General features: G+C 48.7%; 1 protein-coding gene across 5 annotated transcripts in view, besides 14 other annotated features; it reads left to right on the top strand.

Annotated features, from left to right (window-relative positions):
- Positions 1-16,246, top strand: part of NPRL3 (NPR3 like, GATOR1 complex subunit) — a 53,288-nt gene that overhangs the window by 16,013 nt on the left and 21,029 nt on the right. For 2 of the 5 annotated variants that reach the window (NM_001077350.3, NM_001243247.2), the window contains 4 exons: positions 3,406-3,535; positions 5,286-5,360; positions 9,886-10,039; positions 12,055-12,136. In NM_001077350.3, the coding sequence (NP_001070818.1) occupies positions 3,406-3,535; positions 5,286-5,360; positions 9,886-10,039; positions 12,055-12,136 (441 nt within the window). The remainder of the gene's footprint in view (positions 1-3,405; positions 3,536-5,285; positions 5,361-9,885; positions 10,040-12,054; positions 12,137-16,246) is intronic. The other 3 variants (NM_001243248.2, NM_001243249.2, NM_001039476.3) reach the window with 2 other exon arrangements.
- Positions 1-16,246: part of a locus control region, noted in NCBI's record as "regulatory region from 0-65 kb upstream of the HBZ (hemoglobin, zeta) gene; 5' extent approximated based on the cNFG2 cosmid described in PMID:2253879", that runs on past both edges of the window. NCBI's record gives its function as "regulates expression of the alpha-globin genes during erythroid development" and the evidence as "EXISTENCE:transgenic organism evidence [ECO:0001131][PMID:2253879, PMID:1425590, PMID:17110138]".
- Positions 1,242-3,370: a DNaseI hypersensitive site, noted in NCBI's record as "HS-33; erythroid-specific; 2129 bp HincII-TaqI fragment; the nucleotide coordinates are approximate for this feature". NCBI's record gives the evidence for it as "EXISTENCE:in vivo cleavage assay evidence [ECO:0001075][PMID:2253879]".
- Positions 2,411-2,661: a conserved region, noted in NCBI's record as "conserved region; multispecies conserved sequence MCS-R3; overlaps HS-33". NCBI's record gives the evidence for it as "EXISTENCE:sequence alignment evidence [ECO:0000200][PMID:15998734]".
- Positions 6,602-15,905: an enhancer, noted in NCBI's record as "9304 bp BglII fragment 10 (or 11 in reverse orientation) containing HS-40". NCBI's record gives its function as "activates HBA2 gene expression in stably transformed mouse erythroleukemia cells {active_cell/tissue: MEL}" and the evidence as "EXISTENCE:transcriptional activation assay [ECO:0000170][PMID:2253879]".
- Positions 8,232-9,431: an enhancer, noted in NCBI's record as "MED14-independent group 3 enhancer chr16:163229-164428 (GRCh37/hg19 assembly coordinates)". NCBI's record gives its function as "activates an origin of replication core promoter dependent on BRD2, BRD4, P300/CBP and CDK7 cofactors, and independent of MED14, by STARR-seq in HCT116 cells {active_cell/tissue: HCT116}" and the evidence as "EXISTENCE:reporter gene assay evidence [ECO:0000049][PMID:35650434]".
- Positions 8,812-9,167: a DNaseI hypersensitive site, noted in NCBI's record as "HS-40 major regulatory element; erythroid-specific; 356 bp core fragment from PMID:1875946; the nucleotide coordinates are approximate for this feature". NCBI's record gives its function as "major positive regulatory element (PRE) in stable transformants" and the evidence as "EXISTENCE:in vivo cleavage assay evidence [ECO:0001075][PMID:2253879, PMID:1875946]".
- Positions 8,817-9,166: an enhancer, noted in NCBI's record as "HS-40 350 bp Taq1-XmnI enhancer fragment". NCBI's record gives its function as "activates a HSV thymidine kinase promoter in transfected mouse erythroleukemia cells {active_cell/tissue: MEL}" and the evidence as "EXISTENCE:reporter gene assay evidence [ECO:0000049][PMID:1875946, PMID:8381311]".
- Positions 8,909-8,922: a protein binding site, noted in NCBI's record as "HS-40 footprint V (FP-V) GATA-1-binding site". NCBI's record gives the evidence for it as "EXISTENCE:protein binding evidence [ECO:0000024][PMID:1875946, PMID:7721747, PMID:1569944]".
- Positions 8,910-9,153: a conserved region, noted in NCBI's record as "conserved region; multispecies conserved sequence MCS-R2; overlaps HS-40". NCBI's record gives the evidence for it as "EXISTENCE:sequence alignment evidence [ECO:0000200][PMID:15998734]".
- Positions 8,942-8,956: a protein binding site, noted in NCBI's record as "HS-40 footprint IV (FP-IV) GATA-1-binding site". NCBI's record gives the evidence for it as "EXISTENCE:protein binding evidence [ECO:0000024][PMID:1875946, PMID:7721747, PMID:1569944]".
- Positions 8,993-9,014: a protein binding site, noted in NCBI's record as "HS-40 footprint IIIa (FP-IIIa) AP-1/NF-E2-binding site". NCBI's record gives the evidence for it as "EXISTENCE:protein binding evidence [ECO:0000024][PMID:1875946, PMID:7721747, PMID:1569944]".
- Positions 9,027-9,049: a protein binding site, noted in NCBI's record as "HS-40 footprint IIb (FP-IIb) AP-1/NF-E2-binding site". NCBI's record gives the evidence for it as "EXISTENCE:protein binding evidence [ECO:0000024][PMID:1875946, PMID:7721747, PMID:1569944]".
- Positions 9,049-9,063: a protein binding site, noted in NCBI's record as "HS-40 footprint IIa (FP-IIa) GATA-1-binding site". NCBI's record gives the evidence for it as "EXISTENCE:protein binding evidence [ECO:0000024][PMID:1875946, PMID:7721747, PMID:1569944]".
- Positions 9,139-9,156: a protein binding site, noted in NCBI's record as "HS-40 footprint I (FP-I) GATA-1-binding site". NCBI's record gives the evidence for it as "EXISTENCE:protein binding evidence [ECO:0000024][PMID:1875946, PMID:7721747, PMID:1569944]".

Here is a 16,246-nt window from a genome sequence, read left to right as displayed (position 1 = left end):
TTTTTCTTGAATTTCCAAGTTATTCCAGGAATCTTCAGTTTTTGTAACAGATGTTTTATTGTGCTGCAGTACATTTATTAGGCCTTTCACCATCAAAATGAGGGAAAAGGATTTTCATAAATGTTGGAAGCCAATAAAACAAAACAACACTTGTTTATGGTTCAGTTTGCTGTTTATAAGTTTTGCCCCACCCCCAATCTCATGAATATAACTCTGTCTTTATGTGTATTACATTACCAGACAGACTATATAAAGTATAAAGCCAGATGGGTGCAGTGGCTCATGCCTGTCATCCCAGCACTTTGGGAGGCCGAGGTGGGCAGATCATGAGGTCAGGAGGTCGAGACCAGCCTGGCCAACGTGGTGAAACCTTGTCTCTACTAAAAAATATGAAAAATTAGCCGGGCTTGGTGGCACGCGCCTGTAATCCCAGATATTTGGGAGGCTGAGGCAGTAGAATCGCTTGAACCCAAGAGGCGGAGGTTTCAGTGAGCCGAGATTGCGCCATTACACTCCAGCCTGGGCGACAGAGCAAGACTCCATCTCAAGGGGGAAAAGAAAAAGCCGCTCAATTGTTTTGTCATGGGGCCGGGCGTGGTGGCTCACGCCTGTCATCCCAGCACTTTGGGAGGCCGAGGCGGGCGGATCACCTGAGGTCAGGAGTTCGAGACCAGCCTGACCAACATGGTGAAACCCCGTCTCTACTAAAAATACAAAAATTAGCTGGGCGTGGTGGCGGGTGCCTCTAATCGCAGCTACTCGGGAGGCTGAGGCAGGAGAATTGCTTGAACTCGGGAGGCGGAGGTTGCAGTGAGCCGAGATTACGTCATTGCACTCCAGCCTGGGGGACAAGAGCAAGACTTCGTCTCAAAAAGAAAAAAAAGCGTTTTGTCATTATATGTTTGTAATATTAAGGTGTGGGGAGTAGATTTCTCTGTGGGCCAGATTTGCTCAGATAAACAATGGCTAACTACCACCCTGCTGGCTGCCTCAGAGGGCTCCATGAACAGCCACTAAGTCAATGTGACTGTTTTTTTTTTTGAGACGGAGTTTCGCTCTGTCACCCAGGCTGGAGTGCAGTGGCACGATCTCCGCTCACTGCAACCTCTGCCGCCCAGGTTCAAGCGATTCTCCTGCCTCAGCCTCCCGACTAGCTGGGACTACAGGCTTCACTGCGCCCGGCTAATTTTTGTATTTTTAGTAGAGACGGGGGTTTCATTATGTTGGCCATGCTGGTCTCGAACTCCTGACCTCGGGTGATCCACCCACTTCAGCCTCCCAAAGTGCTGGGATGACAGGTGTGAGCCACCACGCCTGGCCCAGTGTGCCTTTTTACTTCAGCTCACAGATTTCCAGTTGGCCGTCTCTGCAGACCCTGGCCTCTAGCAGGGAAAGAGCCTTTTATTTGGCTGTTGTGAGGGCGCCTTGAAGTTTAGGTATTTATAAACGCGAACTGGGCTACCACTGCTTGCCTCTGAGAATCCCAGGGACCATCTCACAGCCAAACTAAATTTGGTCCCTGGACTGGTGCCTGAGGGCTGAGGCTGAGACATGGCTGTGACTCTTTATGACAGAGCAGCAGTTTTTAGTGGAGATTTTGGGCTGTCAGAGCAAGGGACCTTTCTGGAGTGGTGGTGGTTATTTTTCTGTTACCTCTGTGTCCCCTGAGTCACTGGGTGGCAGAGTGGAGGGGCACTGTTTAGATAGGATGTGAGGCGTTGGCCCTGGGTCAGTTGCTAGAGCAGAAGTGTTTGGTGGCGTTTTAATACCTCAAACCCTCCTTCAACATTACCATGTCCCACAGATGGGAGTTATAGAACAGAGTGAGCCATTTAGGGTTTTTGAAGAAAGCATATTATGCCTGTGGTGTAAGGCACTTGAATCCTCCATCTCTGCAGGAGAGACCTGCAGTGGGCTGCTGAGGACTTGGCTGTGGGTCCTGCGTTTCCCAGGATAACTCTAACAAGATTGATTTCAGAAGGTCCAACTGCAACCTGACTGGGTTGAGAGGCTATTTCCAAATGGCACAAATAGGTTTGACCAAACCCTCGTATGTGGTTTGTTTGTGAGCCTAGGGTGACTTCGGATGGTTAGAGGGTCGTGCCAGTTCAGGAGGAAGGCTGGAAAACAGTCTGAGCCCCACAGCCCATGATAGACTTGGAAAGAATCATGTAGCTACTTGCCATTTGCTATTACAGAGCTGAGCTACAGTGCAGTTCAAAGCAGGCCTTCCTTTTTCATCACAACATGGAGGAGTTATGTCAGTCTCTCCCATCCCTTCACCAAGAGGGCCTCTGGGGAAGAAGCATGACCAGGTTTGCACCCTAGAATGTCTGTCCTCAGTGGTCTCTTCTAGGACCTTAGGGGTCTCCCTGCCCAGGGGCAGAGTATGGCCCTGCGGAGGCTAGAGCTTCCCCAAGAGAGTGCACCCTCCTGACCTAGATATTAGATATATTTTTCCTGGGTGGAGAGATATGTATGGGACTTCTCTCTCTTCTGGGTCCAGATCAGAGGTAGTACATTTGTGTTTCTAGAGCGGAGGCCCTCAGAGCCCTGGACTCTGAGATAAGAGTCAGCACCACCCACAGCACCCCTGCAGGTGACACTCCCTTATCCAGATCTCCCCAGGCAGGAGGCATCAGCATTGCCAGTAAGGAGACAGAAGGGCACAGATGACCTTGAAAAGGGGAAAAGGGATGCCCTCCCTCCCACACCACAGCTGCACCCACTTCTCCGTGGCACCCAGTTGTGTGCAACCTGGTATTTCTGCCATTTGGAAATAGCTGTGATCACAGTGGGCTTGCACATCTTGCACAAAGCTTCTTCCCTGATAAAAACCGGAAAGTTTAAGTGTTTGGGATAAGGGAACGGATGGGCAGCCATGCTATGAGGAAGGAAGTCAGCGCTCTGCACGCATCCCTGTGCACTGTCCCCTTGCCCTCCACGCGGCTCTTTGGGTGAAGGGCCGCTCTGTGGGTGAAGGGCCTGGGTCCTGGGAGTTGAAGGTGCAGCACAGCAAACCTGAGTGTAACTGGGAGAGGCCCCTCTGCCTGTGAACTTTAAAGAGCAGCTCCGCAGGGCAGTGCCGGCTCCAGCTGATCCTCCCTTTGAAAGCAAACTGCAACTGTTTCTCTCCTGAATTTAATAGAGCATGCCAAAAAATGACAGCATGTGCCTTCAGTCTGTGCTTCTCATGCCTTTTACCTTGTAATTCTGGTGATCTTACATCCATAACCTCTGGGATTGCTACAGAAGGGCAACTGTTAGTAGCTTCCACCAGCAGTCGGGGCAGAGCAACTCCATGAAGGTGCAGTTTACTGAGACCCTTCCGCTCTGGGGCCAGCAGGGCATGGTGCTGTGGTATTTTGTTAACTTATTTTTATTCTACCTCTCTTAAATTTTAAGGTTTTCAGATGTTATTCTGGCAACAATTTTGGCAACCAAGTCTGAAATGTGTGGCCAAAAATTTGAACTGAAGATTGATAATGTGCGATTTGTTGGGCACCCAACACTGCTACAGCATGCTCTGGGGCAGGTATGGCTCTCCCTGGGCAGGTGGGGCTCTCCCTGGGCAGATGTGGCTCTCCTTGGGCAGGTGTGGCTCTCCTTGGGCAGGTGTGGCTCTCCTTGGGCAGGTGTGGCTTCCCCTGGGCAGGTGTGGCTCTCCTTGGGCAGGTGGGGCTCCCCCTGGGTAGATTTGGCTTCCCCTGGGCAGATGTGGCTTCCCCTGGGCAGGTACAGACCCTCTGGGAAGGTGTGGCTCCCCCTGGGCAGGTGTGGCTTCCCCTGGGCAGATGCGTCTGTCCTTGGGCAGGTGGGGTTCTCCCTGGGCATGCACAGACCCTCTGGGCAGATGTGGCTCTCCCTGGGCCGGCAGGCCTGGTCCATTCTGGCTCTGGGGGGCTCAGAACTGAGGCTGACACCAGCTCTGGTGAAGGTACTGGGCAGGAGACCTGATTAGACACTTGGTATGAACTGTGCATCTTCATAAACCCAGAGAGTCCAGTAGAAAAAGAGACAGGTGTTCTTGCCCCTGAAGACAGGTGCTTCAGTCCCTGTCCCTAGCTTTTACAGTCTGCATTCTAGGTCTCTACTGACTGTGGCCCTCCCCTTCATATGTAGGATGTCTGTTTCCAGGGGAGGCCAAGATAGTGAGTTAACTAGCATCGTGAAACCCTTGAATTTTCTACAGTGTGGTGCAAGCATTTCCTCTTATTTATTACAAGACACTCTAGTAGCTAATATTAGTATTATTTAGCACTTATTTTTCTGCTAAACCCTCTCTATATGTTCTCTTGATGAATAGGTGTCATAGCACTGAGGAACTCATCTTGTTAGCAGGATGAAGGGAACTTGTACACCAGAGCCTGCCAGTCAGCTCTCTGCATACAGGCAGGATCAGTGATGGCATTACTAAGATTCTGAAGGGTCGAACACAGTAACGTAGGATTTAGCTACATTTATACAGATCCAGCAATTCTGGGAGGTTCTGTGGTGTTATTCGTGAACCTCCATGGAAGGAGTTTCTGAGGCGGTTGATGAGCCTGGTCCCCTGTACCGCACCCTCCCTTCTCATCACAGCCTCCACAGCTGGGGCACAGTCCCCTACCTGTAGGCAATGAAGGGGAGAGTTGGCAGCCTGCCCGCGGTCACACCCTGTAGACAGGAGTGGCAGTCAGGGGTAGGGGATGGGTGCCAGGGCAGCCTGGGGCCCCAACTCCCCCTGGTGGCAGAACTTGTAGTTGGCTTTGAAGAGTTCCCCCGTGCCCCTTGGAATGCTTCCCTTGAGCGCCCTGGTCCTTGTGAAGCTGGCTGGATGCCAGAACCGGGAGCACAGAAATTAGGACTTGCTGGCCTGCCTCACCTGGGCCCTGCTCAGGGCTTGGCTGTCCCTGAACATCGTCCTGTCCCTCAATTGTTCTGAGTATGCGTCATACTTAGCAGATACAGCCTGGTGGATGCAGGCGGGCACGGGAAGGCAGTGGGGGTGTGGGTCTGGGTCCTCCACCCATTTATGCCCCTCTCCATCTCGTCCCCTGTGGGCATTGTCAGCTCACTTCTGTTAGCGGGGGGGCGAGGGGGTCAGAGCACTGACCTTCCCACTCTTGTCATAGTTGTGACTTTGCCCATGCAGTAGGCACGCCTCCAGAGCAAAGGCATTCATTGCTTTTCCAAGACCTTGGTGCTGTATTCTGGGGACTTTTGCCATGCCTGAAGTAGAATAGCTCTAAACAGCTTTCCTTAGAAAGTCGTCTCAATTAATTAGAATTATGCATCTTTTACAGATCTCCAAAACAGATCCTTCCCCGAAGAGGGAAGCACCTACTATGATTCTTTTTAATGTGGTGTTTGCACTGAGGGTGAGTGTTTATATAAATGGTTAAGATCAGGGAGTGGGGCCAGTGGAGAAGCAGCTCTTTTTTTCCAACGAGCGTGTCATTGACTCGGAGCTTGGACTGCAGCGGGCTGGCCCCTCCTGGGGTGCAGGCAGACTGCACTTCATTGTTTACCCCTTTTTGTTTTGGTAAAATACACATAACACTATTTGTCATTTTGAAGTCTATGCTTCAGTGGCATCTGGTACATTCATGTTGTATAACCATCACCACTATCTAGATCCAGAACACTTTCACCACCCCAGAAGGAAACCCCATACCCATTAGCAGTTATTCTCTTTTTTTTTTTTGAGACAGAATCTCGCTGTGTCACCCAGGCTGGAGTGTAGTAGCGCAATCTTGGCTCAATGCAACCCCTGCCTCCCAAGCTCAAGTGAGTCTCCTGCCTCAGCCTCCCGAGTAGCTGGGATTACAGGTGTGCGCCACCACGCCCAGCTAATTTTTGTATTTTTAGTAGAGATCGGTGGGGGGGGGGGGTCTCGCCATGTTGGCCATGCTGGTCTTGAACTCGTGACCTTAGGTGATCCACCCACCTTGGCCTCCCAGACTGCTGGGATTACAGGCGTGAGCCACTGTGCCCTGCCCCTGCTAATTTTTGTATTTTTTGTAGAGATGAGTTTTCACCTTATTGCCCTGGCTGATCTTGAACTCCTGGTCTCAAATGGTCTTCCCTCCTTGGCCACCCAAAGTGCTGGGATTCCAGGTGTGAGCCACTATGCCCAGCTGGAGCTTAATTTTTAAGACAGGCCTGCCTTGTTGATAAATAAGGAACTACAAATTAAAACAAAATGATTTGTTAATGGCTCCTGGGGTACAGGGTTCTGGGAGAAGTTCTTCACTTTCTGCTTGATACACTTTTGTAGTATTTGCATTTTCATAGCATCTTTGTATTTCTTACATAATTACATAATATAAAGCGCCACAAAGAAAAATGAATTAAGTAAAAAAACAAGCAAAGGAGTAAACAAAATCCATGACGAATGTTGTCCACCTGTCAACACCGATAACCCCTGTGGGACAGTTGATGAAACGCAGCCACAGCCCCACCCAGGATGCTGTAGGCAGGCCCTCACCTCGGGGAACAGTGTTTGCAGGATGCTGTAAGCAGGCCCTCACCTCGGGGAATAGTGTTTCCAGGATGCTGTAGGCAGGCCCTCACCTCGGGGAGTAGTGTTTGACAGCATAGCATATGATGCCCTTAGATCTAGCAGTCCCACTGTTAGGAGTATTATCAAGAAAAACAAGCAACTTTTACAACTGCGTAAAGATTTCCCCCAGGCTTGTTCTCAGCAAGAATAAAGATTTTTATAACAATAATTAAACTGGAGATAATCATAGTGTGTAGTAGTTGGGGAGTGATTAAACAATGTGGTGATTATTATACACTGGCCCATCCTCTTGCCATCAAGGGTGAGAAATGGAGATCAGACCAGAACCTGGAGAAGTATAGATTGATTACGGACAGGTAAAAGCAACCGGAGCCGAGCACAAATGCTTACGCCTGTAATACCAGCACTTTGGGAGGCTGAAGCGGGCGGATCACCTGAGATCAGGAGTTTGAGAGCAGGCTGACCAGCATGGAGATACCCCGTCTCTACTAAAAAATACAAAATTAGCCAGGTGTGGTGGTGGACACCTGTAATTCCAGCTACTCAGGAGGCTGAGGCAGTAGAATCGGTTGAATCCGGGAGGCGGAGGTTGCAGTGAGCAGAGATCGCACCATTGCACTCCAATCTGGGCAACAAGAGCGAAACTCCAGCTCAAAAAAAAAAAAGCAACAGGAAACAAGATAGTCTAGGACTTCAGCTGGCCGTGATATTGACGAGTAGGAGAAATTTTGATAATGTAAAGAGTTTGTATTTTTTGGGTGGACAAGTCTTTCTTTTTAAAATATATACTTTTGTCATTTTAAATATATATTCTTTCTTTTTAAAATATACACTTTTGTCATTTTAAATATATATTCTTTCTTTTTAAAATATACACTTTTGTCCAGGCACAGTGGCTCACTCCTGTATTCCTAGCACTTCGGGAGGCCAAGGTGGGTGGATCACTTGAGCCCAGGAGTTTGACACCAGCCTGGGCAACATAGCGAAACCCCATCTCTACAAAAAATACAAAAATTAGCCAGGCATGATGATGTGCGCCTGTAGTCCCAGCTACCTGGGAGGCTGAGGTGGGAGGATCACCTGAGCCTGGAAGGTCAAGGTGGCAGTGAGCAGTGATCATCTGCTGCACTCCAGCTTGGGCAAGAGAGTGAGACCCTATCTTAAAAAAAAAAAGAAATACACTTTTTTTTTTTTACTCTGAAAAATTTTAAACCCTGAAATAGAGAGAGCAGACTGACAAACCTTATATGCCTGTCTCAGGTGCCTTTAAACCCTGGCTCCATATATTTCCTTCCCTCTCTCTATTTCAAGGCAAGTCCCAGACCTTATGTCTGTTCATCCCTACATACTTCAGAAGATATCTGTATAAAATATGGGCACTTAATTTTCGGCCATGATACCCTTTGTACATCTGAAAAAATTTGCTGTAATAAGTTGGCATCACCTAGTACCTGGTCCATTGAAGCTTCTCCTGATTGCTAAAGCCTTTTCACAGCTGGACTGTCTGAACCAGGATGCAAACCCAGCCCAGCTAGTGCATGTGGTGTCTTTATGTCTCTGCCAATCCAGAGGTCTCCCCTCCCTTTGTTCCATCAAATGTTCCACATTTGGATTAATCTCATTGTGCAGTCAGACTTGCTCTCTGTCCCTGTGTTTCCTTCAAACTACAAGTTAACTCTGAAGGCTTGGTTCTATTTGGGTACAAGTTTTGGGGATGAGAAAGTCTCATGCGTGATGCCTTAAACTTCCTGCCACTTTATGTCGTGTATGGTGAAAATATGGTGTTTCTAAAAGTTCCCATTAGTGCTGGCACACCCTAGGTGTTAGCTTTCTCAGCATGTCCCTCACTCCATGTCAGGCCTTTGCAAACCGGACATGCTGGGACACCCCATGAGTGCAGGTCACTGAGCGTCACTGGGGACTGCACCACTTTGTATGTCTGGAAAGGTCAAGCATATGGGCCCTGGACATCCAACTCATGGACACTGTTGTGCCTCAGCTGAATAATCACATATCCAGGATCATTGTCCTCCTCCTTGCTTTGCTCGTGGAAGTATTTGTACACAGATTCTTCTTCTAGGTGGGTATTTTGTTTTGAGGCAATTGTATACACCCCATATGTCAGCCCTCTGGTCCCAAGGACACTGTTGAGGCAATGCCCTTGACATGGAGGAGCAGGTCTGCTGCCCAGTGGTGGGCACAGCATGGGAGCAACAGTCCTTTCTCTGGCAAGGGATGCTGCCTTGTTGTAAGTCCATCCAGGTGTGAGTTCTGTTTGTGAACATGGGATCTGATGAGAATATAGAGAATTTCTTCAGCTCCAGATGAAGAACGTATTTACTGTCTGGGTCAGGCTTTGCCCCTGAAGCCTGGCTGTGAACACTTTGGGCATGGCCTTCCCTCTCAGATAAACAGGAGGGGGAGGCAGCACCAGAGGTTGTAATCAGCAGTACCATTCACCCCTTTCCCTTGTCCCACCTCCACCCCCACAGGATGACTCAGCAGTCCTGTTGGCCTCCAGAAGCACTGAGTCATGGTTGGCCCAGTTATCTGCTCCCTCAAGTGTTTTCACAGACCCCCACAGCTGCATGCCTCCACCCTTGGCTTGGGCAGATGTGCTTGCCTGGCTGACTGTGGTCCCTGATAGGTTCCAGAGGGTCGAGGGCCCCTCTTGTTCCTGAGAGCCTCCTGCACTGTCCTTTGACCCAGTCATCATGGTTGCAGAAGGAGCTCTTGGGCAGAGATATGGGCCTGGAGCCTGCTGGTTTTCTTGTTAACCAGTGTGACTTCTGCTGGGAAGAGCTTCTCATCCTTCAGGACCAAAAGTATTCAGTGAACAATTGGCCTGGTGCCTCTCTTTTTGTACCGTGCATCCCTGTAGTAACGTGGCCTGTCGTGACTGAATTCTTACAAATTGTAGACTGGTTCTGCCTACCAGTAGTCAGCAGTACAGTGGTGACCACAGACACTAGCAGGGTCTTTGCTCAGGGCAGGTTCTGTTCTTAGTTTGTTACATGGCTCGCTAATTTCTTCCATTCAGTCCTTGGTGAGGGAGGCACCATTGTTGTTCTTCCTTAAGAACAACAGTGCCTCCTTAGGGCACCCAGGCATTTCCAGAGCCATCTCTGTTACTATTCAGGCAGCCACTCCCAAGAACAGAGCATGGGGGCTGACAGCCCACATGTCTATGGATGGGCCCTGGAGGGGACTCAGGAAATGAGCAGCAGTGGCCTCTGCAAAGGAGCCTGGGGGAAAGGAGTAGAGACGCTTTCTTTCATGGTTTGAGTTTTTGCTGTGTACCTGTGTTAGCTCCATTTAAACTGTGTCCAGCTGTGTCCCTGTGCACACGTTTGAGTCTGTGTATGGTCTCTCTCCTGCAGGCCAACGCAGACCCGTCAGTGATAAACTGTCTGCATAACCTGTCCCGTCGTATCGCCACCGTGCTGCAGCACGAGGAGCGCCGCTGCCAGTACCTCACCCGGGAGGCCAAGCTGATCCTGGCGCTCCAGGATGAGGTGTCCGCCATGGCTGATGGTGAGTGCAGCAGGGCGTGATGGGCATGGGTCTGGGCTGGCTGGTGGCCTCTCTGCAGCGCAGACCTCTGTGGAGGGGCTGTCATTCAGTGTTAATGATACAGATGTTGGCGGGGCCTCACCCACCCCAACACCAGCAGAGCAGTCAGGAGCTTGCAAGCATCGGCTTTTGGTGAGCTGTGCATTGAAAATGAAGTCCTCACAACAGCTTCGCTAGGCAGTGTCCATGATCATCCCCATTTTGCAGATGTGGAAACTAAGGCTCAGAGAAGTTACATGATCTTCACACGGGGCTGATTGTGCCTGGGGGGCACAGGAAGACTCCCAAGGGGCACATTTGTAGATGAATTTTCCTGGCTGGATGTGTTGAAATAGATTTCCCGACCAGAAATGTTCTTTCTTCCCACACACTGCTGCATGATCACCGTTCACATAGGTGAGGCAGCTCTGCCTAGCCCTGGTCCTGTTGGAGATGTTGAAGAAACTATTACTCCCTGGGGCAGGAGAGGGCGTTGGAAATATCCAGCTGGTGAGGTGGACAGTTTCCAGTTCTTTGCTTTCAGCCAGATTGAAGGAGGACCTAATTGGGTTATCAACTAACCAATTATTAAAAATAATTTTTGCAGACAGAACATTGAGTGTTTTTTGGCCTACTGTAAAGATTTCAAAACATAAAGAGACACCTGTAACAAACTCTCCATCTCCATTTTCTTTGGCCAGCACCTCTATAACAAAAGAGAGAATTAGGAACAAAACTAAAGTCAGACCTAGTTGTTGTAGCAATAAGTAAAATTAGTTATTGACATGAATGAACAATAATAAAGAACAGCCTCTCTGACTCAGGTGCATTTTCAGTACAAATTTACCTGTGGCTGGCTGCGGTGGCTCATGCCTGTAATCCCAGCACTTAGGGAGGCTGAGGCAGGTAGATTGCTTGAGCTCGGGAATTCAGGATCAGTGTGGGCAACATGGTGAAATCCTGCCTCTACCGAAAAAAACCCAAAAATTAGCCGGGCATGGTCATATGTGCCCGTAGTTCCAGCTACTCGGGATGCTGAGGTGGGAGAATCACCTGAGCCTTGGGAGGTGGAGGTTGGGGTGAGCTGAGATTGCACCACTGCACTCCAGCAAGGGTGACAGAGTGAGACCCTGTCTCAAAAAAAAAATAAATAAATAAAAATAAAATAAATTTTGACAGGTAATTGTCAAATATATAAAGTTTTTCTTTTGTTTTTTCCTCTGTCACCCAGGCTGGAGTGCAGTGGTGTGATCTCTGCTCACTGCAAGCTCCATCTCCTGGGTTCACGCCATTCTTCTGCCTCAGCCTCCCGAGTAGCTGGGACTACAGGCGCCCGCCACCACGCCCGGCTAATTTTTTGTATTTTTAGTAGGGACGGGGTTTTCACCGTGTTAGCCAGGATGGTCTTGATCTCCTGACCTTGTGATCCGCCTGCCTCGGCCTCCCAAAGTGCTGGGATTACAGGTGTGAGCCACCGCGCCCGGTTACCTGTCAAAATTTATAATATGTTTCTGTTTTGGCCAATTATATACTAATTATAATTGTGATAATAACAATCCAAAAGTTTTGTTTTTTTAAACGTTATCTTTTTAGAGTCTGTGACTTTATCACAGGAAGTAAAAAGAAATTTTATTTTAAGTCTATGTATATATTTTTAGAAATTTATGAAAAAGGATGAATAAAAGACTTTTTGGCTGGATGTGGTAGCTCACACCTGTAATCCCAGACAAAAAATTTTAAAATTAGCAGGTCTAGGCCAGGCGTGGTGGCTCATGCTTATAATCCCAGCAGTTTGGGAGGCCAAGGTGGATGGATCACTTGAGGACAGGAGTTCGAGACCAGCCTGGCCAACATGGTGAATACCTGTCTCTACCAAAAATACAAAAAAATTAGCCAGACATGGTGGCGGGCGCCTGTAATCCCAGCTACTTGGAAGGCTGAGGCAGGAGAATCGCTTGAACCCGGGAGCTGTAAATCTTGTGTTGTGATTCTTGTAGGAAATGAAGGTCCTCAGTCCCCATTCCATCACATCCTGCCCAAGTGCAAGCTGGCCAGGGACCTCAAGGAAGCTTATGACAGGTAAGACAGGTGGGTGTGCTTATTAACCTCCTTCTTATGGGCCAGCCTGCCTGGGCCTGAGGAGCAGCGTCAACAGGTAGGGCTCCCCGGTACTGACCACTGTTCTCCTGGGGTGTGAGCATCAGGGTTCCCTGAGGTTAGGGCCGGAGAGGACTGGGAAGGGATGGTCATGTGGCTGCTCTTGAAAGAAGTGACCTTGGTGGCCGTTTTTTTTTGTTTATTTTTTATTTCTATTTCTATTTATTTCTTTTTTTTGAGATGGAGTTTTGCTTTTGTTGCCCAGGCTAGAGTGCAGCGGCACGATCTCGGCTCACAGCAACCTCTGCCTCCTGGGTTTAAGAGATTCTCCTGCCTCAGCCTCCCGAGTAGCTGGGATTACAGGCATGCGCCACCACACCCGGCTAGTTGTGTATTTTTAGTAGAGACGGGGTTTCTGCATGTTGGTCAGGGTGGTCTCCCGACTTCAGGTGATCCACCCGCCTCGGCCTCCCAAAGTGTTGGGATTACTGGCGTGAGCACCGCGCCCGGCCAGTGGCTGTTTTTTAAATGGTTTGCTGAGTAGGGTGCACTCTGCTGGAACTTACATCACAAAAGACAAATCACTCTCCTATGTTTAAGGACTTATATTTCCCAATAGAAGAATGAACAAGGGATCTGAGCAGTGAGCTCACAGAAAAGACAGGTGGTTCAAACATGTGAAGAGATGCATCAGTGCATCACAATAAAGCTACACAGAGATCCCATTCCCCACCTGTTATACTGGTTAAGATCCACAATTTCACGAGACTCGATGTTGGCAAAGCTCGGGGGAAGAGGCATCTCGTGTGTTGCTGGTGGGACAGAGGTACAAACCCCTGAGTACCTTTGCTTTTTTAAACCCCTTTGCTGAGTAGCATGCACTCTGCTGGAACCACCACCTCCAGACTCCTCTTAAAACAGAAAACGAGCCCGAAGTTATACATGAGAGTCCGAAAGTGTTTTTAAATCAAACAGATGCAAAATGCCATTTTACTGAGCATGACGCAACACCAAGTGCTGGGCCACCTTCACTAGGTGGGTGTCACTGACTCCAGTCACTCAAGAGGAAATTGAGGCTCAGTGGGTGAGGCTGGGGCCAGCTGTCTCCTCTCAGTCTGAGAGAGTTGGGGTTTGCGACACTGACTGTGTGAGGGCAGCAAGCCTTGAGGATACCATGAAAACCTCACAGTTGTTCTGATTGTATTGGCTGAGCATCACCTTTATTAAATGTGGACAAGCAGGCCGGGCGTGGTGACTCACGCCTGTAATCCCAGCACTTTGGGAGGCTGAGGGGCGGATTTCTTGAGGTCAGAAGTGCAAGATCAGCCTGAACAACAATGTGAGATCGCATTTCTACAAAAAATTTTTAAAAAATATCTGAGTGTGGTGGCACAAGTGTAGTCTCAGCTACTCAGGAGGCTGAGGTGGGAGGGTCACTTAAGCCTAGGAAATCAAGATTATGGTGAGCCATGGTTGTACCATTGTACTCTGGCCCCAGCAACAGAGCCAGACCGCGTATCAAAAATGAAAAAAAAAAGGCCGGGCGCGGTGGCTCACACCTGTGATCCCAACACTTTGCCAGGCTGAGGCGGGTGGAGCACGAGGTCAGGAGTTCGAGACCAGCCTGGCTAACATGGTGAAACCCGCTGTCTACTAAAAATACAAAAAATTAGCCGGGCGTGGTGGTGCATGCCTGTAGTCCCAGCTACTCAGGAGGCTGAGGCAGAAGAATCACTTAAATCTAGGAGGCAGAGGTTGCAGTGAGCTGAGATGGCGCCACTGCACTCCAGCCTGGGTGACAGAACTAGATGTCATCTCAAAAATAATAATAAAAATTAAAAAACAAAAGTAAAATAAAAAATAAATAAAATTTAAAAAATACTTTTTAATTCTTTTTTTGGCTGCCTAGTGAGCCGCAACTGCCCCCACCATTGAGTTTGTTCCAGCCTTCCAGTGCTAACCATTTACCTGTGTTATTTTGTATGTGCGCCTCTGTATCTATAAGATAAATTCCTAAAGGCATTACTAATAGGGAAAATGGCATTTGTAATGTTGTGTTTCCTTCTCAGGGGTTTGTACCTCTGTCCCACCAGCAACACACGAGATGCCTCTTCCCCCGAGCTTTGCCAACATCGAGTCTCGTGAAATTGTGGATCTTAACCAGTATAACAAGTGGGGAATGGGATCTCTGTGTAGCTTTATTGTGATGCACTGATGCATCTCTTCACATGTTTGAACCACCTGTCTTTTCTGTGAGCTCGCTGCTCAGATCCCTTGTTCATTCTTCTATCGGGAGATATAAGTCCTTAAACATGGGAGAGTGATTTGTCTTTTGTGATATAAGTTGCAACTAGCATTTGTTTGTCTCTTGGTGACCCTGGGGACTGAGCCTCCCCAGGTGTGAGAGAACATCAGCCCTTGCCAGGTGATTGCTTTGTTTTCTGGCCCCTTCTGTGTTGCAGAATGGGACCTTTGTGGTCATGTAGTCTGACCCTGTCTTTGATTCATTGTTATCACACTAATGTTTTCTCTGTGTTGAGAGAATTACTACCCTCTGGCTTTGAATTGCCTGGTATCCAGTCTCTTCCTTGGACATTGTTCCCTTATTCTGAGTGTATGCCTCAACTCGGATTAGATTACAAACAAAAATCAGGCTAACTTGGAATTAAAATAAAAACCAAGCTGGTGCGGTGGTGTGCTCCTGTAGTCCCATCTCACAGGCGAGGCCAAGGTTGGGGGATCACTTGAGCCCAGGAGTTCGAGCTTGTAGTGCTCTATGCTGGTGTCTGAGTAGCCACTGTACTCCAGCCCCAGCAACATGGTGAGACCCTGTCTCTTAAAAATTTGTTTAAATAAAAACCAAACCATTGACTTTATATTTCTTTTTCTTCTTCTTTTTTTTTTTTTTTTTTGAGATGGAATATCCTTCTGTTGCCCAGGCTGGAGTGCATTCTTCTGCCTCAGCCTCCCGAGTAGCTGGGACTACAGGTGCACATCACCATGCCTGGCTAATTTTTGTATTTTTAGTAGAGATGGGGTTTCACCATATTGGCCAGGCTGGTCTCGAACTCCTGACCTTGTAGATCCGCCCGGCTCGGCCTCCCAAAATGCTGGGATGACAGGCGTGAGCACCGTGCCCGGCTCGTTGACTTTATATTTCTAAAGGAAGAATGGACTATGATTTCTTAGGTTTGAATCGTGCTGGAAAGTTGAAAGGAGACAAAACCTTGGACTGCCTGTTGTGTGATCTGCAGGCTGCGGAGGAGCTCAGAACTTGAGGCAACCCAGCGCCACCTAGTGGATATTAAAGGAGGACAGGAATCTGAGTTTTGCTGAAAAAGGCTCCTAAGCTGTTGTTCAGCATGTAGCATTCTTTCCTGACCTACGCATTCTGTTTGTTAGTGCCCAGGATCACATTTCCTCCATCCAAACTCCCACCCTAACAGTCTTGGGTCCTGGAGCTTGCCCCAGGGATGCTGGCAGCTATGTTTCTCTGGCAGGAGTCCAGGCAGTAGTACCCTCCCTGTACCCATCCTTGTCTGGCACTGGCATGGCTCTGCAGCCACCCAGGAGCCCCTCTGGGCTGTGGCCTCTCGTCTGTCCTCATCCCATCAGGTCCATGGTTGGCCTCAAGGGTCTGGTCTGCTGCTGCTCACTCTTCTGCACTGAGAGGAGGAGACTGAGTTTCCATTACTGATCAGGTGACCTAGGACAGAGCGCCTTTCTCCTGATGGTGACTGACTGCCAGATCTGGGGGAATCTCAGAACAGAACTGAAAGACCAGAAGCTGTGAGATTAATGAGGTTGGAGATTGGGGTGGGATTTTTCAAAGGAATTGTTCCTGGTTCTTTTTTTTTTTTTTTTTTTTTTTTTTTTTAATTTAAGGCAGGGTCTCACTCTATTGCCAGGCTGGAGCGCAATCTTGGCTCACTGCAACATCTGTCTCCCAGGCTCAGGTGATCCTTCCATCTCGGCCTCCCGAGTAGCTGGGACTATAGGCACCCGCCCCCACGCCTGAATAGTTTTTGTATTTTTTTGTGGAAATGGGATTTTGCCATGTTACCCTGGCTGATCTTGAATTCCTGGACTCAA

Source organism: Homo sapiens, chromosome 16 (assembly GCF_000001405.40).
Source record: "Homo sapiens chromosome 16, GRCh38.p14 Primary Assembly".
Classification (NCBI taxonomy): domain Eukaryota; kingdom Metazoa; phylum Chordata; class Mammalia; order Primates; family Hominidae; genus Homo; species Homo sapiens.
This window is presented reverse-complemented; position numbering and strand designations above follow the sequence as displayed.